This window comes from Homo sapiens, chromosome X, assembly GCF_000001405.40.
Source record: "Homo sapiens chromosome X, GRCh38.p14 Primary Assembly".
Classification (NCBI taxonomy): Eukaryota; Metazoa; Chordata; class Mammalia; order Primates; family Hominidae; genus Homo; species Homo sapiens.
Genome location: NC_000023.11, coordinates 2,929,755 through 2,951,223, shown reverse-complemented (window position 1 = coordinate 2,951,223; position 21,469 = coordinate 2,929,755). Strand labels below are relative to the sequence as shown.

The following is a 21,469-nucleotide window of genomic DNA, read 5'->3' as shown; positions in this document are numbered from 1 at the left end:
GCTGCTGATATCACATGGTGCTTTCCGGCCTTCATCATTGCACTGCAAAACAAGGTGCAATAGACTAAATAATGGTCCCAGAGATGTCAGGCCCTAACCTCTGAATCTAGCAAATATTAGCTTATATGCAAAAAGAGTCTTTGTAAATGTGATTAAGTGAACAATCTTGAGGTGAGAAGATGATCCTGAATTATCCAGCTGGGCCCACTGTGCAAGGACAAGGCTTCGTTTAACATGGAGGTAGAGGAAGATTGGGCCACAGAGAGGAGAAAGCAGTGTGATTAAAGTGAGGCGACCACAAGCCAAGGGATAGCTGGAGCCACCAGGAGCTGGGAGAGGCAGGAAGGATCCTCCCCTAGAGCCTCTGGAGAGAGTATGTGTGTGTCTGTGTCCTACTATCCTCTTCTTATAGGACACAAGTTCTATCAGATTAAGGCCTGTATTAGTCTGTTCTCACGCTGCTAATAAAGACATACCCAAGACTGGGTAATTTATAAAGAAAAGAGGTTTAATGGACTTCCAGTTTCACATGGCTGGGGAGGCCTCACAATCATGGTGGAAGGCAAAGGAGAAGCAAAGGCATGTCTTTCATGGCGGCAGGCAAGAGGGCATGTGCAGGGGAACTCCCATTTATAAAACCATCAGATCTTGTGAGACTCATTCACTACCATGAGAACAGTGTAGGGGAAACCACCTCCATGATTCAATTATCTCCACCTGGCTCCACTCTTGACACATAGGGATTATTACAATTCAAGGTGAGATTTGCATGAGGACACAGCCAAACCATATCAGTGCCCAAACTAATGACCTCATTTTACATTAATTATCCTTTGAACACCCTGTCTCCAAACACAGTCACATTCTGAGGTCCTGGGTGTTAGGGCTTCAACTCATGAATTTGAGGCAGGCCAGGATCCAGCTCACAATAGAGTCATTGCAGATATAATCAAGTAAAGATGAGGTCTCTACAGTGGGCCCTACTGCGATGACTGCTGTCCTTATGAGACAAGAGATTAGGTCGCAGACACACACAGAGGACAACGCCATGGAAACATGGAGATGGAGACTGGAGTGATGCGGCCACAAGCCCAGGGAGGCCTGGAGCCCTCAGGAGCTGGGAGAGGCAGGAAGGATCCTCCCCTAGAGCCTCCAATTTGAGTGTGGCCTGGAGACACTTTGATCTCAGACTCCTGGTCTCTAGGACTGGGAGAGGATAGATTTCTGTTGTATTAAGTGAACAGTTTTACAGTAATTTGTTCCACCTGTCACGGGTAACTAATATTTTGGTTAAAGCTGACACATGGGGTCCTCATTCCCCTGAAACGATGAGGCCAGATTGTGGTGCAAATAACAGCTAATGCTGCCCACACTTCTTTGCAATCTCCTGGCCCCCCAGTGTCTAACAGAGTATCAGGAATGTGACAAACAGTCAATATCGACATGTCCAGTTATGCTCAGATGCTTGTCACATCAACATCCTTTTTGCCTCTCAGGAAAATGGCATCTGGGTCTCAACTGTGAGTCAGCCAGTGATCATTGCCACCACCCTCTCCATCATGGCTTTGACCATTTCTACGGAATGCCTTTCTCCTTGATGGGTGATTGCGCCCGCTGGGAACTCTCAGAGAAGCGTGTCAACCTGGAACAAAAACTCAACTTCCTCTTCCAAGTCCTGGCCTTGGTTGCCCTCACACTGGTAGCAGGGAAGCTCACACACCTGATACCCGTCTCGTGGATGCCGGTCATCTGGTCAGCCCTTTCGGCCGTCCTCCTCCTCGCAAGCTCCTATTTTGTGGGTGCTCTGATTGTCCATGCCGATTGCTTTCTGATGAGAAACCACACCATCACGGAGCAGCCCATGTGCTTCCAAAGAACGACACCCCTTATTCTGCAGGAGGTTGCGTCCTTTCTCAAAAGGTCAGCAGAAAAGGGTCAGCTTCCTCCAAGCACTCAGCTTTGGAATGAAAACGCATCCTAAATAGTCTTCTTCAGTCAGGCATGGTGGCTCATTCCTGTAATCCCAGTGCTTTTGGAGGCTGAGGTGGGAGGATCGCCTGAGGTCAGGAGTTCGAGACCAGCCTGGCCAACATGGTGAAACCCCGTCTCTACTAAAAATACAAAAATTAGCCCAATGTGGGGCTTTACAGGTGCATGCCTGTAATCCCAGCTACTCGGGAGGCTGAGGTGGGAGAATCCCTTGAACCTGGGAGGTGGAGGTTGCAGGGAGGTGAGGTCACATCACTGCACTCCAGCCTGGGTGACACAGGGAGAACCTGTCTCAAAAAAAAAAAGTCGTTTTCTTTAATTGACGTTTGAAGAATGGGATAGCCATGACCTAGAAGGACAATTTTTTGGTAAGAATGGGGCATAGATGAGGGTCAGTGGAGCCCTGTGACTTGCCTTGTGTCCATTAAAACATTGTTACAGCTGAGCTGGGCATAGTGGTACACACCTGTTATCCCAGCTACTCGGGAGACTGAGGCAAGAGGATAATTTGAGGCCAGGAGTTAGAGACCAGCCTGGACAACACAGCAAGACCCCATTTCCACAAAAATTTTAAAAATTAGCTGGCTGTGGTGGCATGGACTTGTAGGCCCAGCTACTTGGGAGGCTGAGGCAGGAGGATCACTTGAGCCCAGGAGGTTGAGGCTATGTAGTGAGGCTATGAAGGGAGCCTGGGCGACAGAGCAAGGCCTTGTCTCAAAAAGAAATTGTTACAGGTCAGCTGGAATTTGCTACTACTCTGGGGTCAGTCTTATTCCATTAGCATCCTCGGATCACCACAGACACTATTTAAGTAACCTGCATCACCTGAAGGGCTTTATAATCAATTATAAACTTAAAAAAAAGTCTATCTTCAGAAGTCAGATGTCTTTTGGCAGAATTCAGCCTGCGGTCAATTTTATGGCAAGGAAAATTCCTGTGTGGGACCAGGAGAAATGGGATGAAACTAGTTCTCAGTACTACACAGCTATTTTCATGCTCCCCAAGGGCATTCTAGTAAAGATGGTAACACCATCAAAAGTCACCTTACCTGGTGACAATGAGGTTGTCATCATCTCCTACAACATTCTTAGATAATTTTTTTCTTTTTTTTTTTGAGACAGAGTCTCGAGCTATGGCCCAGGCCGGACTGCAGTGGTGCAATCTTGGCTCACTGCGACCTCCGCTCCTGAGTTCAAGCAATTCCTGTACCTCAGCCTCCCAAGTAGCTGGGATTACAGGCATGCACCACCATGCTCAGATAACTTTTATATTTTTAATAGAGATGGGTTTTGCCATGTTGGCCAGGCTGGTCTTGAACTCCTGACCTCAAGTGATCTACCCGCCTTGGCTTCCCAAAGTGCTGGGATTACAGGCGTGAGCCACTGCATCCAGCCTCTTAGAGAGTTCTTCATGGCAATACCTAATGTATGACAGAAAGGACATTGACAATTAGCTTGCAAATTAAAGCAGGGTAAGACTGTTGTGTTCTTTTTGATTTTAAATGTGACAGGATCTGGCTATGTTGCCCAGGCTGGTCTCGAACTCCTGGGCTCAAGTGATCCTCCTGCCTCAGCCTCCCAAAGTGCTGAGATTACAGGCATGAGACACCATGCCCAGCCTGACGTGTTCTAATTAAGGCTAACACCTTCACCATTGCTCTTAGGCTTCAAGGATCTAGATTAGACCATGAAGGCCGGGTGAAGGGAGGGAGAAGCTAAAACACTGCTTTCAAGGAGGACAATGGAAATAATATGAATAACCCAATATGCCTCATTTGTAAAGTGTGTTTTTTATAACTATTTTATGTCCTAATCCTCACTACGTGATAGCAATTATAAAGAAAATGGAATGTGTGGCACCACTTATTCTATAAGCTAAAGCTTGAGGTTAAAAATAGATATTGAAATAATTGAACAAAATAAAAGTCATGTCAGTAACCTACAGTTCTTTTAACTTTGCATTAAGCAGTAGAGTTAGAACATTATAATATTCGGGGGGGAAAAGATGCATTAGATCAGTGTGGGTTTTTATTTATTTATTTATTTATTTTGAGACAGGATTTCAATCCGGTTGTCCAGGCTGAAGTGCAGTGGCGCAATCTCAGCTCACCGCAACCTCCTCCTCCCAGGGTCAAGCAATCCTCCCACCCCACCCTCCTGAGCAGTTGGGAGTACAGGTGCATGTCACCACATCCCGCTAATTTTTGTATTTTTAGTAGAGATGGGGTCTTGCTATGTTTCCCATGCTGGTCTTGAACTCCTAGGCTGAAGCAATGCTCCTGCCTCAGCCTCCCAAAATGCTGGGATTGCAGGTGTGAGCCACCACGCCTGGCCCAGTGTGGATTTTTAAATAGATTTCAGAAGGGAAGGGAAAAGTCATGATGTTAAAGAGTCTTAAACAAGACGTGTGTTGTGGTGCATGCCTGTGATCCCAGCTACTTGGGAGGCTGAGGCAGGAGAATTGCTTGAACCTGGGAGGCAGAGGTTGCAGTGAGCTGAGATCGTGCCACTGCACCCCCGCCTGGGCGACAGAGCCACAATCCGTCTCAAAATGAAAAACAGAGAGAGGTAACAGACCAGAAAGGCATGGTGGCTCACGCCTGTAATCCCAACACTTTGGAAGGCCGAGATGGGCAGGGGCAGGTCACTTGAGCCGAGGAGTTCAAGACCAGCCTAGTAAACATAGTGAGACCCTGTCTCTACAAAAAAAAAAAAAAAAAAAAAAAAAAATTAGCTGGGCCTGTTAGCACATGCCTGTGGCCCCAGCTACTTGGGAGGCTGAGGTGGGAGGATCACTTGAGCCTGGGAGATTGAGGCTGCAGTGAGCTGAGATCATGTCACTGCACTCCAGCCTGGGTAACAGAGCAAGGCCCTGTCTTTAAAATAGCCAAAAAAAAAAAAAAAAAAAAAAAAGGAAGATTGTTAAATATAAGAATTAATTTTCCGTTGAAGAAGAGTTTTGAGTGTTTCTTTTTGGTGAGCAGAGTTGAGAAGACATTTGAGTAATGATGTGACAAGTGAGATCCGTATTTAGTATCTACAGGACTTCAATCTCTGTTTTACCAAAAAAGTCACCTTAATTGCTTCGTATTTATTTTTAGGAATAAGCATGGGCCTTTCCTCCTCTTTGTTTCCTTTCTACACGTTCACATCCCTCTTATCACTATGGAGAACTTCCTCGGGAAGAGTCTCCACGGGCTGTATGGGGACAACGTAGAGGAGATGGACTGGATGGTAGGTAAGTGCACTTCCAGGGAAAATGGGCTGCTTCCCTTCCAGCAATAGAAGCAGGAAAGGAAACAAAGAATGAGAAGGTTAAAGACAGAAGATGCAGAATAGCGATTGCAGTGCGATTGGATTTTAAGAGTGCAAAATATTATAGCACAGATCTTCACTGCATTAGCAGAGGGTGAATTCCATAACACATGCACGGGAGGCAATGCGATTCGGCCAAAGATGTCCACATCTTAATCCCATGTGGCAGAAAGCTGTCCACTCCCTAGACAGAATAATGGCTGCAGAGACATCCACGTCCTAATCTTGATGTGGTAGACATAAAAATGGCCCCAAAGATAGCCACTTTCTAATCCCCATGTGGGAGACAGAATAATGGCCCCAAAGATGTCCACATCCTAATCCCCATGTGCTAGACAGAATAATGACTCCAAAGATGTCCACGTCTTAATCCCCATGTGTTAGAGAGAATAATGACCTCAGAGATTTCCACGTCTGAATTCCCAAGTGGCATACAGAATTTTGGCCCCAAAGATGTCTACGTCCTATTGCCATGTGGTAGACAAACAAAAGAAAGAGCAGATAAAATTCCTCTCCGCTGTAGAGTGGCTAGTGGCTCCACTGCACTGAAAATAGGACTAAATTTCCTCCTATCACCTACAAAAGCCCCATGACCTGCTGCTGCCCAGATCCTAGTCTGACCTCTACCCAACCCCCTTGTCCTCCCCACCTGCTGCATTCTGGCCACGTGGACGCCACACAGTATCTTTCACATTTGTCCCCTGTCAGGGCTTCCACACCTGCTGTTCCCTCCTGGAATGCTTCCTCAGGCTTCACTGGCTCCTCTTCAGAGCCTGCCCTGACGCACCCCTAAAGTAGCTCCTCCCCAATCATCTTCTCCCCCATTCTCCTGTGGTCCTTTTTTGTTTTGCCTTTGTTTTCCTCCTCCTCTTCCTCCTTTCTCCTCCTCCCCCTCTTCTTCTTCTTCTTCTTCTTATTCTTCTTCTTCATATTCCTCCTCCTCCTCCTCCTTCTTCTTCCTCTTCCACTTCTTCCTCTTCTTCTTCTTTCTTCTTTCTGTCTTCTTTCTTCTTTTTTTCCTAACACAGCATCACCATTGCTTCTCTTCGTGACCATGTGTTAGGTAGGTTGATTTTCCATTTCCCCCAGGGGAATATAAACTCCTGTGGGGCCGGATTGTCTTGCCTCATTCCCTCATTATATTTCCTGGGTTTAGAACAGGATGGAAGGGGAATATTGCTTGAGTGAGTCAGGGCTGGGTGAGCACCTGTATATGGGCACAGCACATCCCTGCCTCCCAAAAAAGAACTTAGGAACCGCAGGGTTTAGGTGGTGGTGGGCTGCGAATCCCAGGATCCTCAGAATAATTGCCATCAGAGATTTGGGTGAACGACGTATTTAAAAAAAAAAAATTGTTTCCTCAACAAGCTAGGCATGGAAGGAGAAAAAGTTAATTGTGTGTGTGTGTGTGGCAGGGTCTCACTTTTTGTTTTGTTTTTTTTTTTTTGTTTTTTTTGTTTTTTTTTTGAGACCGAGTCTCACTCTGTTGCCCAGGCTGGAGTGCAATGGCACGGTCTCAGCTCACTGCAACCTCCGCCTCCCGGGTTCAAGCAATTCTCCTGCCTCAGCCTCCGGAGTAGCTGGGTTTACAGGCACCCGCCACCATGCCTGGCTAATTTTTGTACTTTTAGTAGAGATGGGGTTTCACCATGTTGGCCAGGCTGGTCTCGAACTGCTGACCTTGTGATCCGCCCGCCTCAGCCTCCCAAAGTGCTGGGATTACAGGGATGAGCCACTGCGCCTGGCCGACAGGGTCTCACTCTTACCCAGGCTGGAGTGCAGTGGTGCAACCGTGGCTCACTGCACCCTGCCTTCCCAGGCTCAAGCAATCCTCCCACCTCAGCCTCCCAAGTACCTGGGACCACAGGTGTGCACTACCACACCCGGCTAATTTTTTTATTATTTGTAGAGACAAGTTCTTGCTGTGTTGTTCAGGCTGGTCTCAAACTCATAGGCTCAAAGAGCCTCCCACCTCAGCCTCTCAAATTGCTGAGATTTCAGGCATGAGCCACTGTGCCCGGCCAACTGTGAGTGACATTAATGACATGAGTTCCCTTGTGTGTGGCTGCAAGAAGCTCAGGGTCACTTTTGAGGACTGGTCTGCATTTTCAGTCTATGCTTTCTTCTCAGGAATATTCACATGCCTCACTTTTTTTTTTTTTTTTTTTTTTTTTTTTTTGAGACCGAGTCTCACTCTGTCACCCAGGCTGGAGCGCAGTGGCGTGATCTCAGCTCACAGCAATCTCCACTTCCCGGGTTTAAGCTATTCTCCTGCCTCAGCCTCCCAAGTAGCTGGTACTACAAGCATGTGCCACCACGCCCGGCTAATTTTTGTATTTTTAGTAGAGATGTAGTTTCATCATGTTGGCCAGGCTGGTCTACAACTCCTGACCCCAAATGATCCTCCTGCCTCGGCCTCCTAAAGTGCTGGGATTACAAGTGTGAGCCACTGTGCCCAGCCTGCATGCTGCACTTTTAAGTTTTTGATATTTTGTCCTTGTACGTTGCCTAAAATTCTGACCAAAGGATGGGGTGCATATAAAGTCATACATCAATCTCCAACAAAGGATATCAAAATTATCCAACAGCTGACTTCCATTATGCGTTAAAACTAAGGCTTCATTCTTGTGGCTAGCCCCCGAATGCTAAAGCATACACTTCAGAGCTGCATTTCTGATATTTTTCCATTTCGACGGCCCCAAAAACATCTGTTCTTTGCAGGACGGATCCTTGACACTTTGGACGTGGAGGGTTTGAGCAACAGCACCCTCATTTATTTTACGTCGGATCACGGCGGTTCCCTAGAGAATCAACTTGGAAACACCCAGTATGGTGGCTGGAATGGAATTTATAAAGGTAAGACTGAGATGCTCCCAGATCTTCATCTTGCAAGTTTATCTCTTCCCTGCAATTCCCAGCAGGGCAATCTATTCCAGGAGGGTCAATATTATTGCTCAGGGACAGTGATTTTTCCTATCCAGGGCAAAAGTGGTAATTTGACATACTCCAGTTTGAATTTTTGTTCCTGGACCAAACTGAGGGTCAGGCTGCTTATTCTGGTGGTTCAAAAATGAGATGCAGATGAACTGGGAGAGGAGGGAGTTTATTTCTGTAACCGGTTACAGGGAGGTCTGGAAATTGTTGCCAGACCAACTCAAAATTACAAAGTTCTCCAGAGCTTCTATTTCTAAGCTGTATGTCTGCGTGTAAGTGTGCACTCATCTAAAGACATTAGTGATGAACTTCTTCTAATCTGTAACTAAGGTCTGAGTCCCGGAGACCCTCCTCTGGAGACTAAGTAAATTGACTTAATCTAAATGGGTCCAGGTGGCCGGGCACGGTGGTTCATGCCTGTAATCCCAGCACTTTGGGAAGCCGAGGTGCGTGGATCACCTGAAGTCAGGAATTTGAGGCCAACCTGGCCAACATGGTGAAACCTCGCCTCTACTAAAAATACAAAAATTAGCCGGGCATGGTGGCACACGCCTGTAGTCCCAGCTACTCAGGAGGCTGAGGCAGAAGAATCGCTTGAACCTGGGAGGCGGAGGTTGCAGTGAGCTGAGATCGCGCCACTGCACTCCAGCCTAAGCAATAGAGAGAGTCTCCATCTCAACAACAAAAATAATAAAATAAATAAATAAACAAATAAATAAATGGGTCCAGGTGCCAGGGCTGATTACCCTTACCTTGTCTCCTGCTAAATCGCGGAGGTCTGGGGAGTTGTTTCAGACCTCTAATAAAACTTGTTTAATCCTAAAAGGGTCCTGCTAAGAATTCCTTGGTTATCTTGTCACGCTTCAAGGCCCAGGAGAGGCCTGGGCAGAACTCCTGGGGGGCTTTTGTGACATCCCGGCCTTTGTATACAGGCGCTGGTTGTTTCAGCTTTTGCTATTTAACTTCACCACTCGTCAGTGCTGAAACAGTTGTTACGGAGGCCTGTGTTAGTGAGACGTGGCCTGCCACGTTTTTGTGCACAATTAAGGAATTTTTAGTAGATTATCAGAGTTGTGTAACCATCATCATGTCGATGAAAAGAGCTAAACTCTGTAAAACATTTGAAGAGGTTTATTCTGAGCCAAATAGGAGTGACCATGGCCTGTGACACAGCCCTCAGGAGGTCCCGAGAACGTGTGCCCAAGATGGTCAAGGCGCAGCTTGGTTTTATACATTTTAGGGAGGCATGAGACAGCAATCAAATACATTTAAGAGACACATTGGTTTGGTCCAGAAAGGTGGGACAACTCAAAGCCACGGGGCTTCCAGCCTACAGGTAGATTTAAACATTTCCTGGTTGACAATTCGTTGTTTCTCTAAAGACCTGGGATCAACAGAAAGGAATGTCTGGGTTAAGATAAAGGATTGTGGAGGCCAGGCACAGTGGCTCACACTTGTAATCCCAACGCTTTGGGAGGCCAAGGCGGGTGGATCACTTGAGGTTAGGAGTTCGAGACCAGCCTGGCCAACATGGTGAAACTCTGTCTCTACTAAAAATACAAAAATTAGCTGGGTGTGGTGGTGCGTGCCTGTAATCCCAGCTACTTGGGAGGCTGAGGCAGGAGAATCCGTTGAACCTGGGAGGCGGAGGTTGCAGTGAGCCAAGACTGTGCCACTGTACTCCAGCCTGGGCGACAAAGCGAAACTCCATCTCAAAAAAAAAAAAAAAAAAAAAAAAAGATTGTGGACACCCAAGTTCTTATTTGCAGAGGAAGCCTTCAGGTACTAGGCTTCAGAGACAAGAGGTTGTAACATGCTTCTTATCAGACCTAAAGGCTGTGTGGATGTTAATGCCAGAGAGGAATCATGAGGCATGTTCGACTCCCGCTTCCTGTCACGGCCTGAAACAGCCTCTCAGGTTAAGTTTTTAAAGAGCTCTGGGTGAGGAGGAAGTCCATTCAGATGGTTGGGGGTCCTTAGAATTTTATTTTTGTTTTACAATCACTATTTTCATTCGTAAAATTTATTGTTATTATTTTTATTTATTTTTATTGAGACAGTCTGGCTCTATCTCCCAGGCTGGAGTACAGTGGTACGATCTTGGCTCACCGCAACCTTTGCCTCCTGGGCTCAAGTGATCCTCCTGTCTCAGCGATCATAAGTAGCTGGGACTACAGGTGCATGCAACCACTCCTGGCTAATTTTTGTATTTTTGTAGAGATGGGGTTTTGCCATGTTGCCCAGGCTGGTCTCAAACTCCTCACCTCAAGTGATCCTCCCACGTTGGCATCCCAAGGTGCTGGGATGACAGCAGGCATGAGCCACCACATGTGGTCCACCACTGTTTATTTCAGAACATTTCATCACCTCACAAAAAAATCCTCTACTCATAGCAGTCACTCCCTTTTCCCCCGTGCTAACATCCATCACCCAAAAACTTATTTTTGATTTGTTTATTATTTAATTTTTAAAATTATCTTTTGTAAAGATAGGGTCTTGTTATGTTGCCCAGGCTGGTCTGAAACTCCTGAACTCAAGCAGTCCTCCCAGCTGGGCCTCCCAAAGTGCTGGGATTCCAGGCGTGAGCCACCATGCCTGGCCACAAAATTATTTTGTATCATTGTATATTTTCCTACTCTAGACATTTATGTAAATGAAATCATGCAATATGTGGAGTTTTTTTGTTTTTACTTAGCATGATGCCTCTGAGGTTCATCTGTGTTGTGGAAATGTTTCATTCCTTTCCATGGCTGAATATATTCCATTGTGTGGACTCAGGTTTGAATTTTACCTTCAGACAATGCATCCAAGAAGGATAAGGCCAGGCGCAGTGGCTCTCACCTGTAATCCCAGCACTTTGGGAGACCGAGGCAGGCAGATCACTTGAGGTCAGGAGTTTGAGACCAGCCTGGCCAACATGGTGAAACCTCATCTCTACTAAAAATACAAAAATTAGCCAGGCGTGGTGGTGCACGCCTGTAATCCCAGCTGAGGAGGCTGAGGCAGGAGAATTGCTTGAACCTGGGAGGTGAAGGTTGCAGTCAGCTGAGATTGTGCCACTGCACTCTCGCCTGGGTGACAGAGTAAGACTCTGTCTCAAAAAAAAAAAAAAAAAAAAAAAAGGTAGAAGGGTAGACACCTAGCTGGCCACATTATATTCAAACCTGTATTCCATTGTTTCCAAACACGCCATTCTTTCGTGTACCACAAAGATGCTAAAATGTGCTGCCCCGTGTACATGACTTCACACTGTTGTGCTTACACATTTTGTCTTCTCCCTGCTTAGAGAGCTTTATTTTTCAGTCCTTGAAAGAGCCTTTTTAGGCTAATATTGGCAAATATACCTATGATGTATATTTGCTTTGAAGTAGATGGATCCATCAGTCTAGTACATATGTAAAACGGGATATATAAATGCCAACTACATCCACTAATGCCTTCCCACAACAACTTCACATTGAAGGCCTGACTCCTCAGAAACCTTCTTTATCTCATTGCCATTGACGTTAATGTATCCTCTACCCAATCTGGTTCTCTGTGCCATCAAGAATGTCAGTATTATAAACTGGCGGAGCTTTAAACAACAGGAATTTATCCTGTCCCAGCCCTGGAGACCAGGAGTTTGAGATCAACGTGTCTCAGGGAAATGTTCCCGCCAGAAGCTCTAGGGGAGGCTCCTCCCTGCCTCTGCCAACTCCTGGGGGCCCCAGGTGTCCCTGAGCTTGTGGCCACATCACTCCAGTCTCTGCCTCCGTCTCTATGTGGCCTTCTCCTCTGTGTCTGTGTCTCCTCTTCTGTCTCTTAGAATGCTGTCATTGGACTTAGAGTCCATCCTTCTCCGCGACGATCTTGAGATACTTAATTGCATCTACAAGGACCCCTTTTTAAAATAAGGTCCCATTCACAGAATCTGGGGATCAGGGTGTGGATATATGTTTCAGGAGGACTAAAGTGCAATCCATTGCAATTGAATCCACTTCTTTCTGGATGCTCTAGGGGAGGCTCCTTCCTGCCTCTCCCAGTTACCGGGGGCTCCAGGCATCCCTGGGCTTGTGGCCGCATCACTCCAGTCTCTGCCTCTGTCTCCACGTGACCTTCTTCTCTGTGTCCGTGTCTCCTCTTCTGTCTCTTAGAAGGACATCTGTCATTGCATTTAGGGCCACCCTAATCCAGGATTATCTCAAGGTCCTTAACTTGATTATATCTGCAAACCCCCTATTTCCAAATAAAGTCTCATTTATAGGCTCTGGGAGATATGACATGAACATGTTTTGGGGTCACTGTTCAATACGTTATAGTTGTATCCACTTTCTTCTTGAGGCTCTAGGGGAGGATCCTTCCTGCTGCTCCCAGCGCCTGGGGGTTCCAGGAGTCCCTGGGCTTGTGGCCACATCACTCCAGTCTTTGCCTCCGTCTCCACATGGCCTTCTCCTCTGTGTCTGTGTCTTCTAAGAACAAGAGTCATTTGTAGTGAAGGACCTAACTTAATCCAATGCACACTAACCAATAACAAGGTTAATAAAAAATATAAAATCAAACCTCTACAGGGGAACTACATGAGATTGAATGTTTTAATGTCACTAAAACAGAGAGAGAGAGAGAGAGAAATTGAGAGACTCAGGGAGAGAGAAACTTCAAACAAGTGAAACAAGCAGAAAAGTTAAATCAGCCAGGCTGAGCATCTATTTCTGGTTTTTAACCACTTTCTTTTGTTTCTGTTCAAACCCAGGTGGGAAGGGCATGGGAGGATGGGAAGGTGGGATCCGCGTGCCCGGGATCTTCCGCTGGCCCGGGGTGCTCCCGGCCGGCCGAGTGATTGGCGAGCCCACGAGTCTGATGGACGTGTTCCCCACCGTGGTCCGGCTGGCGGGCGGCGAGGTGCCCCAGGACAGGTACAGAACAACCCAAAGAAACAATTCAGCTTTGCACAGACACAGCAACACTTATGGCAAATGAACATGTCACTTTGGCTTTGCAGTAAGGCGTCCCTGAAATTGTTCCCCGACCAAACCGAGGGTCGGGCTGCTTATTCTCATGGCCCAATAACGAGATGCAAATGAACGAGGAAAGAAAGGAGTTTTATTTCTGTAACCAGATACGGGGAGAAGGCTGGAAATGATCACTAGACCAACTCAAAATTACAAAGTTTTCCAGAGCTTCTATACCTTCTAAGCTGTATGTCCACATGTAAGCGTGCATCCATCTAAAGACATAAGTGATTCAACTTCCTTTCATCTAGAACTAAGGTCTGAGTCCTGAGGACCTTCCTCTGGAGCCTCAGTAAGTTGACTTAATCTAGATGGTTCCAGGTGCTGGGGTGATTACCCTTATCTTGTCTCCTGCTAAATCATGGAGGTTTGGGGAGTTCTTTTAGACCCCCCAATAAAACTTGTTTGTGGAGGTCTGGGGAGTTCCTTCAGATCCCCAATAAAACTTGTTTAATCCTAAATGGGTCCTGTTAAGAATCCCTTCATTATTTTATCGCGCTTCAAGGTCCAGGAAAGGCCTGGGTAGAACTCTTAGTGGGCTTTTGTTACATTCCAGCCTTTGGGTGCTGGCTCTTTCAGCTTTTTTTTCTTCTTTTTTTTTTTTTGAGACTGAGTCTCACTCAGTTGCCCAGGCTGGAGTGCAGTGGTGCGATCTAGGCTCACTGCAACCTCCGCCTCCTGGGTTCAAGCGATCCTCCTGCCTCAGCCTCCCGAGTAGCTGGGATTACAGGCACACACCAGCACACCTGGCTAATTTTTGTGTTTTTAGTTGAGACGGGGTTTCACCATGTTGGCCAGGCTGATCCCGAATTCCTGACCTCAGGTGATCCACCCGCCTCGACCTCCCAAAGTGCTGGGATTACACGCACGAGCCACTGTGCCTGGCCAATTAATTACTTTTTAGCCAAAGGTGACGTTTGGTGGTGACTAACGTGGGCAGCTGCTGCATTCTTCTTCTAAGCGTGCTAATGCACACACATGCCTTCCATCCATCTGCGTTCACACCCAGACTTTCCCTCCACTGATACAACATAAGGAGAGTGCACCACCTGGGGCTGGGACTGGTGGATGCTGGAGGGACAAATGTCCAGAGTCCCTGTTCCAACCCTGAGCCATGCCATGTTCCTTCCTGCAGAGTGATTGACGGCCAAGACCTTCTGCCCTTGCTCCTGGGGACAGCCCAACACTCAGACCACGAGTTCCTGATGCATTATTGTGAGAGGTTTCTGCACGCAGCCAGGTGGCATCAACGGGACAGTGAGTAGGGGAGCCCCTTCCTAACACCCTTAGGGAAAGAGTCCCTCTGTGCAGGAAAGCACCATGCCCTAGAACAGGCTAGGGATGGAGCTGCATTCCAGAGTCCATCTCCATGTCTCCGCACTTCCGTTTTTCTCCACGAGCTTTTTAAATTTAGTTTTTGTCAATATGTGTCCCTCTCATTCCAGCGACATGCCTTCTGAGATCACCTGCCAATCGTCTTAAAACGATGGGGAGTCGTTACCTATAGTTTCAGCACCATGTATGGGCTATATTTCATTCTTTCTTCCCTGCACTATATGAAGTGCAACTTTTATCATCATCACACACACGTATGTGCATGCATACACACACGCACGCACACATGCTTGCACACACATGTGTTCAAGACTTTTCTAGTCTCTTTTTTTTCTTATTTTTTTGTAATTATTTTTTTGAGACTAGTCTTTGTCGCTCAGGCTGGAGTGCAACTGCAGTCTCCCGGGTTCAAGTGATTCTCCTGCCTCAGCCTCCTGAGTAGCTGGGATTACAGGTGCCCACCACTACACCTGGCTAATTTCTTGTATTTTTAGTAGAGATGGGGTTTCACCATGTTGGGCAAGCTGTTCTTGAACCCCTGGCCTCAAGTGATCCACCCTCCTCGGCCTCCCAAAGTGCTGGGATGACAGGCATGAGCCACCACGCCTGGTCTCCAATTTTTCTTTATTAAGTTGAAACAAGGTCTCAGTATGTTGCCCAGGCAACTCCTGGGCTCAAGCAATCCACCCATCTTGGCCTCCCAAAATGCTGAAATTGCAGGTGTGAGCCACCACGCCCAGCCTTTTGTAGTCTATTTTATGCATCTAGATGTGCTTCCAAATGTTTTAATCACCTGACCTTAACACGACTTCATCTTCTTTGTGAACAATTACAGGCGCACTCCTGTAATCCCAGCTACTTGTGAGGCTGAGGCAGGAGAATCACTTGAACCCAGGAGGCGGAGGTTGCACCACTGCACTCTAGCCTGGGCGACAGAGCAAGACTCTGTCTCAAATAAAAAAAAAAAAAAAGAAAAGAAAAGAAAAGAAAAGAAAAAACTGACTGAGTGCAATTCACAGGCACTTCGTGCTTTCACAGTGTTGTGCAACCTCCACGTCTATGTAGCTCCAGAACATTTTCATCACGCCAAAAGCAGACACTGTTCCTATCAGCAGTCACTCTCCATTTCACACCCTGCAGACCCTGGAAACCACTACTCTACTTCCTGTCATTATGTGTTTCCCTATCCTTGACATTCAATGTGAATGGAATCATGCAATGTGTGCTCTTTTGTAACTTCTTTCTCTGAGCGTAGTATTTTGAAAGTTCGTTGATGTTGCAGCCTGTGTCATTGTGTCATTCCTTCTCATAGCTGCAGAGTATGCCATGTAAGATGTACCATGTTTTGTTTATCTGTCCATCCATCGATGGACGCTTGGGTTAGGCCTACCTTTTAGCCCTATGAAGATGCCATTCTCCAGCAAGGCACCCTATTTCTCTATGCCAACTCTGTAATGATTATCTTTCCACCAGGAGGAACAATGTGGAAAGTCCACTTTGTGACGCCTGTGTTCCAGCCAGAGGGAGCCGGTGCCTGCTATGGAAGAAAGGTCTGCCCGTGCTTTGGGGAAAAAGTAGTCCACCACGATCCACCTTTGCTCTTTGACCTCTCAAGAGACCCTTCTGAGACCCACATCCTCACACCAGCCTCAGAGCCCGTGTTCTATCAGGTGATGGAACGAGTCCAGCAGGCGGTGTGGGAACACCAGCGGACACTCAGCCCAGTTCCTCTGCAGCTGGACAGGCTGGGCAACATCTGGAGACCGTGGCTGCAGCCCTGCTGTGGCCCGTTCCCCCTCTGCTGGTGCCTTAGGGAAGATGACCCACAATAAATGTCTGCAGTGAAAAGCTGGAGCCCCGATTCCTAAATTTTGTCACTCAAATTGAAACAAACCAGCTGGCCATGGTGGTTGTCATCCCAGCACTTTAGGAGGCCACCACAGGAGGATCACTCCCGTGATCAAAACCAACCTGGGCAACATGATGAAACTCTAGCTCTACAAAACAAAAATAAAAAAAAAATTAGCCTGCATGGTGGCACACGCCTGTAGTTCTAGCTTCTCAGGAGGCTAAGGCAGGAGGATCATTTGAGCACCGGAGTTGGAGGCTGTACTGAGCTATGATTGTACCACTGCACCCCAGCCTGGGCAACAGAGCAAGACCCTGTCTCAAAAAAGAAAGAAAACAAAAAAATGAAACAAACTTCAGTGTCATGTTAAGATATCTATTTGCATAAGGATGAATAGTTTCCCCCTGTGAAAAACAAAGGAAAAGGCAAGAGAAAGTAGAAATGAACAATAAACACTGGCCAGGCGCAGTGGCTCACGCCTGTAATCCCGGCACTTTGGGAGACAGAGGCAGGCAGATCACTTGAGGTCAGGAGTTCGAGACCAGCCCGACCAACATGGTGAAACCCTGTCTCTATCAAAAAAAAAAAAAAAAAAAAAAGCAGCAGCAGCAGCCAGGTGTGGTGGCACACGCCTATAATGCCAGCTACTCAGGAGGCTGAGGCAGAAGAATTGCTTGAAGCCGGGAGGCAGAGGTTGCAGTGAGCTGAGGTCGTACCACTGCACCCCAGCCTGGGTGACAGAGCAAGACTGTCTCATCAAAAATAAATAAATAAACAAACAAACATTAATAATGCACCGTTGAATGATCACTCAGACACCAAACTGGAGAGGCAAAGTATCTCCTGCAGTCGGGGAGGAGTCTGTCAATGGACCCCAGCTCAGTCTGGAAGAGGCTGCCCTGTAGCCCAAAACAGCACAAGTCCCAGCAAAGGTGTCTCTGTGACCTACAGGTTTGCACATGAACAGGAGATAGGCCCCAAAGATAAAAACTGGCACTGATGTGGCTTTGTCTGTGGTGCCCATTTATAGTGTTTGTTTATCGTTTACGGCCACAAGGATGAGCCGTGCTTCCCGTTGGAACTGTTTTCAAGTGGTTTTCCTTTGTCTCCAATGCCCCAGGTGATTTGGGCAAACTCTGGCTGTGGAAGCCGCGCTGTGCAGGAAGTGTTCGCCCCAGCTCTGAGCTGCAAGGTCATTGCATAATCAGGCTGCGCCTTAATTGTCTGGGCTGCTAGAATGAAAATACCATAAACTGGGTATCATCAAGAATATTTCTTTCTTGCAGTTCTAGAGGCTGGATGTCCAAGACCACGGCGTGACGGAAGCTGTGTCTGGGGAGAACCTGTTTCTCGGTTCACAGCTGCTGCCTTCTTCCCATGTCTTCACACGGTCATCCCTCTGTGCCTGTCTGTGTCCTATCTCTGATTCTTGTTTTTTGTTTTTTGTTTTTTTTTGAGATGGGGTCTTGCTCTGTTGCCCAGGCTGGAGTGCAATGGCGTGATCTCAGCTCACTGCAACCTCTGCCACAGGTTCAAGTGATTCCCCTGTCTCAGCCTCCCGAGTAGGTGGGACTACAGGCGTGCACCACCATGCCCGGCTAATTTTTGTATTATTTAGTAGAGGTGGGTTTTCACCATGTTGCCCAGGCTGGTCTAGAACTCCCGACCTCAAGTGATCCGCCCACCTTGGCCTCCCAAAGTGCTGAGATTACAGGCGTGAGTCACTGCACCCGGCCCTAATCTCCTCTTCTTATAAGGACCCCACTCCTATTGGAATAGGGCCCACTCTTGTGACCTCATTTTAAAGGATGAATAAAAACCTTATTCCTGTGAGTTTGAAGGCAACACAATTCAGTCCCCAGCACATTCTCCCCTGGGAGTAAGGAGGTCTTTCCAATAGCTCTTTCTGTCTCCAGATTCAAGCAACAGGTCCCTCCTCCCACTCTTCCAAGCCTAGGTATGTGACGAGCAATGCCCCACCTTGTCACCGCCTCAAGAACATGTCCTCAAATTATCCAATCCACATCAGCCTCCAAGAATTCAGGCTGTGCATACAGACCAAAAAGTCAAATCCATCTCCAGCCAATTCTCTTGGGTCAAGAAAGAAATAGTAGGCCAGGTGCGGTGACTCACATCTGTAGTCCCAGCACTTTAGGGCACTAAGATGGCTTGAGGCCAGGAGTTTCAGACCAGCTGGGGTGACATAGCGAGACCCTGCCTCCGCATAACATTTAAATAATTAGGTGTGGTGACACGTGCCTATAGTCCCACCTACTTGGGAGGCTGAGGCGGGAGGATCACTTGAGCCTTTGGCCTCCCAAAGTGTCCAAGGCTACACTGAGCTGTGATCGTGCCACTGGGCGACAGGGCGAGACCTCATCTCTAAAAAGAAAGGAAGGAAAAAATGGCAGGAAGGAAGGAAAGCAAAGAAGCAAAAAGAAAAAGGAAGAAAGGGAGGGAGGGATGGCAGGAAGAACCAGTTAACCCCTATGGCTTTCCCCATAGCCATGGCTTATGGAACAAGACCAGCACTTTGGGTCAGCTGTGCCCGATGTTCCCGGCCCACAGAGTCACCTTTAAGTTCTTCAGCATCCACTGGGGAGAGTCACCTCTGTCTCCACACTTGCCCACACTCTTGAGCTTGATGGCTTTGAAGCCAAAGTCCCCATGGAGGCTCCATGTGCTGAAAGTCATGTGAGACCCTCAGGGTCAGGGCTTACCCACCCTTTCCATCCCCACAACCTCCCGCAAATATGACTTCTGGAGCACCAGCTCCTACTGCCCCCAGGCCCCATTTCCAAATCCTGGGCACCCAAGACAGCTCAGTGTGTTTACATAATTTACCTAAGGGCACCCAAAGTTCTTTTCTCTCTAGTTCTCAGGAATCTCAACTCCCAGCAGCATAGGATTTCTTCCAAGGATCAAATCTCCGCGCCACCCCTGCTAAACCTCCTTGCAGAACTGCTTCTGGGCTGTCTCCTGCCCCCCTCCTTCCAGGCCTCGGCCTGGCCTTCTCCATCTGCATGACAGAGGCTCAGCAAGGAATCCCAGTTGGGAAGCCCTCAAAGATAAAAAAGTTCTTTTTTAAATTTTTTTAGAGACAGGGTCTTGCTCTGTCACCCAGTCTGGAGTGCAACGGTGCAATCAGCTCACTGCAACCTCAAATTCCTGCACTCAGATGACTCTCCCACCTCAGCCTCCCAAATAGCTGGGACTACAGGCACACCACCATGCCCGGCTAACTTAAAAAAATTTTTTTGTAGAGACAGGGTCTCTCTGTGTTTCGCAGGCTGTTCTCAAACTCCTGGTTTCAAGCAATCCTTCCCCCTCAGTCTCCCAAAGTGCTGGGATTACAGGTGTGAGCCACCAAGCCTGTCTGATAAAAGCTATTTCAGAGTAACAGGGCAAAGAGAGAAGCAATAAACAGTGCTCAAGAGCTAGCTCCAGACAGATGGCCAGCGTAATAAATGTAAATGAACTAAATTTGCCAATTAAAAGTGAATGGTCTTTTTTCTAAATAGAATTCCCAGCACCATTTTGGGAGATTCCAATTGAATAAATTTAGGGAGTAGGGCTCCTGACTGTATTGTCTTGAACAAGCACCCCCATCATCTCATCCCAGGGGAGTGTGGGGCAGCTCCCTCATTTATGAAAATCCTAACTCAGTGAATTTAAGGAGGGGCTTCTGAATCTATGTTTTCAACACAAACTTCCACCCCGCCTCCCCTACCTTACTGATTCCATTTGGTAAGCATAGAGAACTGAGTTGCAAAGGAAAAAAAAATGGCATAAATGTTGGAGGCAGAATAATGGTGAGGAGGACCTGGATATGCTTCCCACCTACACACCCAACATAGAGTCTTGTGGCTGGTCAGGCACAGTGGCTCACCTGTAATCCCAGTACTTTGGGAGGCCAAAGCAGGAGGACTGCTTGAGGCAAGAGTTTGAGACCAGCTTAGGCAACATAGTGGGACCTAGTCTCTAGCAAAAAAATAAATTAACAAAAATGTGTCAGGGGTGGTGGTGCACACCGGTAGTTCCACTTCCTTGGGAGGCGGTGACAGCCTCACCCTTGACAGCCTCAGCCTTGGAAAAAGAAAGTACTGTTAATCTTGAAGACTATGGAATCATTTTGTCCCTGACCAGTGGAAGAGGACCTAAGCAACCCCCTTTGAGGGAAAGTGGGTCACCTGGGCTGGAGGTAGGGATGTGATATTGTTTTGTAAGCTAGCATTTCCTACAAAATATGAATTTATACTTTGACCAGATCTTGCATTGTGAGGGGATGTGAGGGGATGAGGTAAGACATGAAGGGGCTTGAGAGAATCAGCGACTGGAGGTCAAGAGAGTTAGACAAAAACAAAGGCTCACTGCAGCCTCAACTCTCAGCCTTGATCTTTCTAGAGGTCAAAAGAGTTAAAAACAAAACAAACAAACAACAAAGGGAGAGCCAAAGATACAAAAAAAGCATTACGTGAGAGGGTAATGAGCAAAATAGCATCATTCAAAAACAAAAGGATGAGTCACAGAAAAGATGGGGAGGGGTCCAGGGCACAGTGATTAATCAAAAGGAGTAATTTCAACAGCAGTCTGATGAAAGAAACAAAGATAAAAATAGCAATTGGAATTAGCCGGGCGTGGTGGCACGCGCCTGTAGTCCCAGCTACTCGGGAGGCTGAGGCAGGAGAATCGCTTGAACCCAGGAGACGGAGGTTGCACTGAGCCGAGATCGCACCACTGCACTCCAGCCTGGGCGACAGAGTGAGTCCCTATCTCAAAATAATAATAATAATAGTAATAAAAGCAAAAAAAAAGGGCCCATCTAGCATTCCCCGTCCCAGACTTAGAGTACAAGTCCAGCATCCGGAACAGACATTTCAAACACCAAGCTTTGAGAAACTGAAATCGCAACTTGATTGCTCTGGGTAGGTCCTAAGACCCTTCCTGACAAAAAGAAAAGGGGCTCCCTGTGCTCAAGCCTAACTGGGTTTATTTTTTATTTTTATTTATTTATTTTTTGAGACGGAGTGTCACTCTGTCGCCCAGGCTGGAGTTGCAGT

At 47.2% G+C, this 21,469-nt stretch overlaps 1 protein-coding gene across 10 annotated transcripts in view; it reads left to right on the top strand.

The window, feature by feature from the left end:
* ARSL (arylsulfatase L) overlaps positions 1–16,703 on the top strand; it is a 33,725-nt gene extending 17,022 nt beyond the window's left edge. For 5 of the 10 annotated variants that reach the window (NM_001282631.2, NM_001369079.1, NM_001369080.1 and 2 more), the window contains 6 exons: positions 1,497–1,920; positions 5,090–5,226; positions 8,025–8,159; positions 12,967–13,129; positions 14,361–14,482; positions 16,034–16,414. In NM_001282631.2, the coding sequence (NP_001269560.2) occupies positions 1,497–1,920; positions 5,090–5,226; positions 8,025–8,159; positions 12,967–13,129; positions 14,361–14,482; positions 16,034–16,392 (1,340 nt within the window). In that variant the 3' untranslated portion in view covers positions 16,393–16,414. Of the gene's footprint in view, positions 1–1,496; positions 1,921–5,089; positions 5,227–8,024; positions 8,160–12,966; positions 13,130–14,360; positions 14,483–16,033 lie in introns of all 10 variants that reach the window. The other 5 variants (XM_047442110.1, XM_011545521.2, XM_047442109.1 and 2 more) reach the window with 2 other exon arrangements.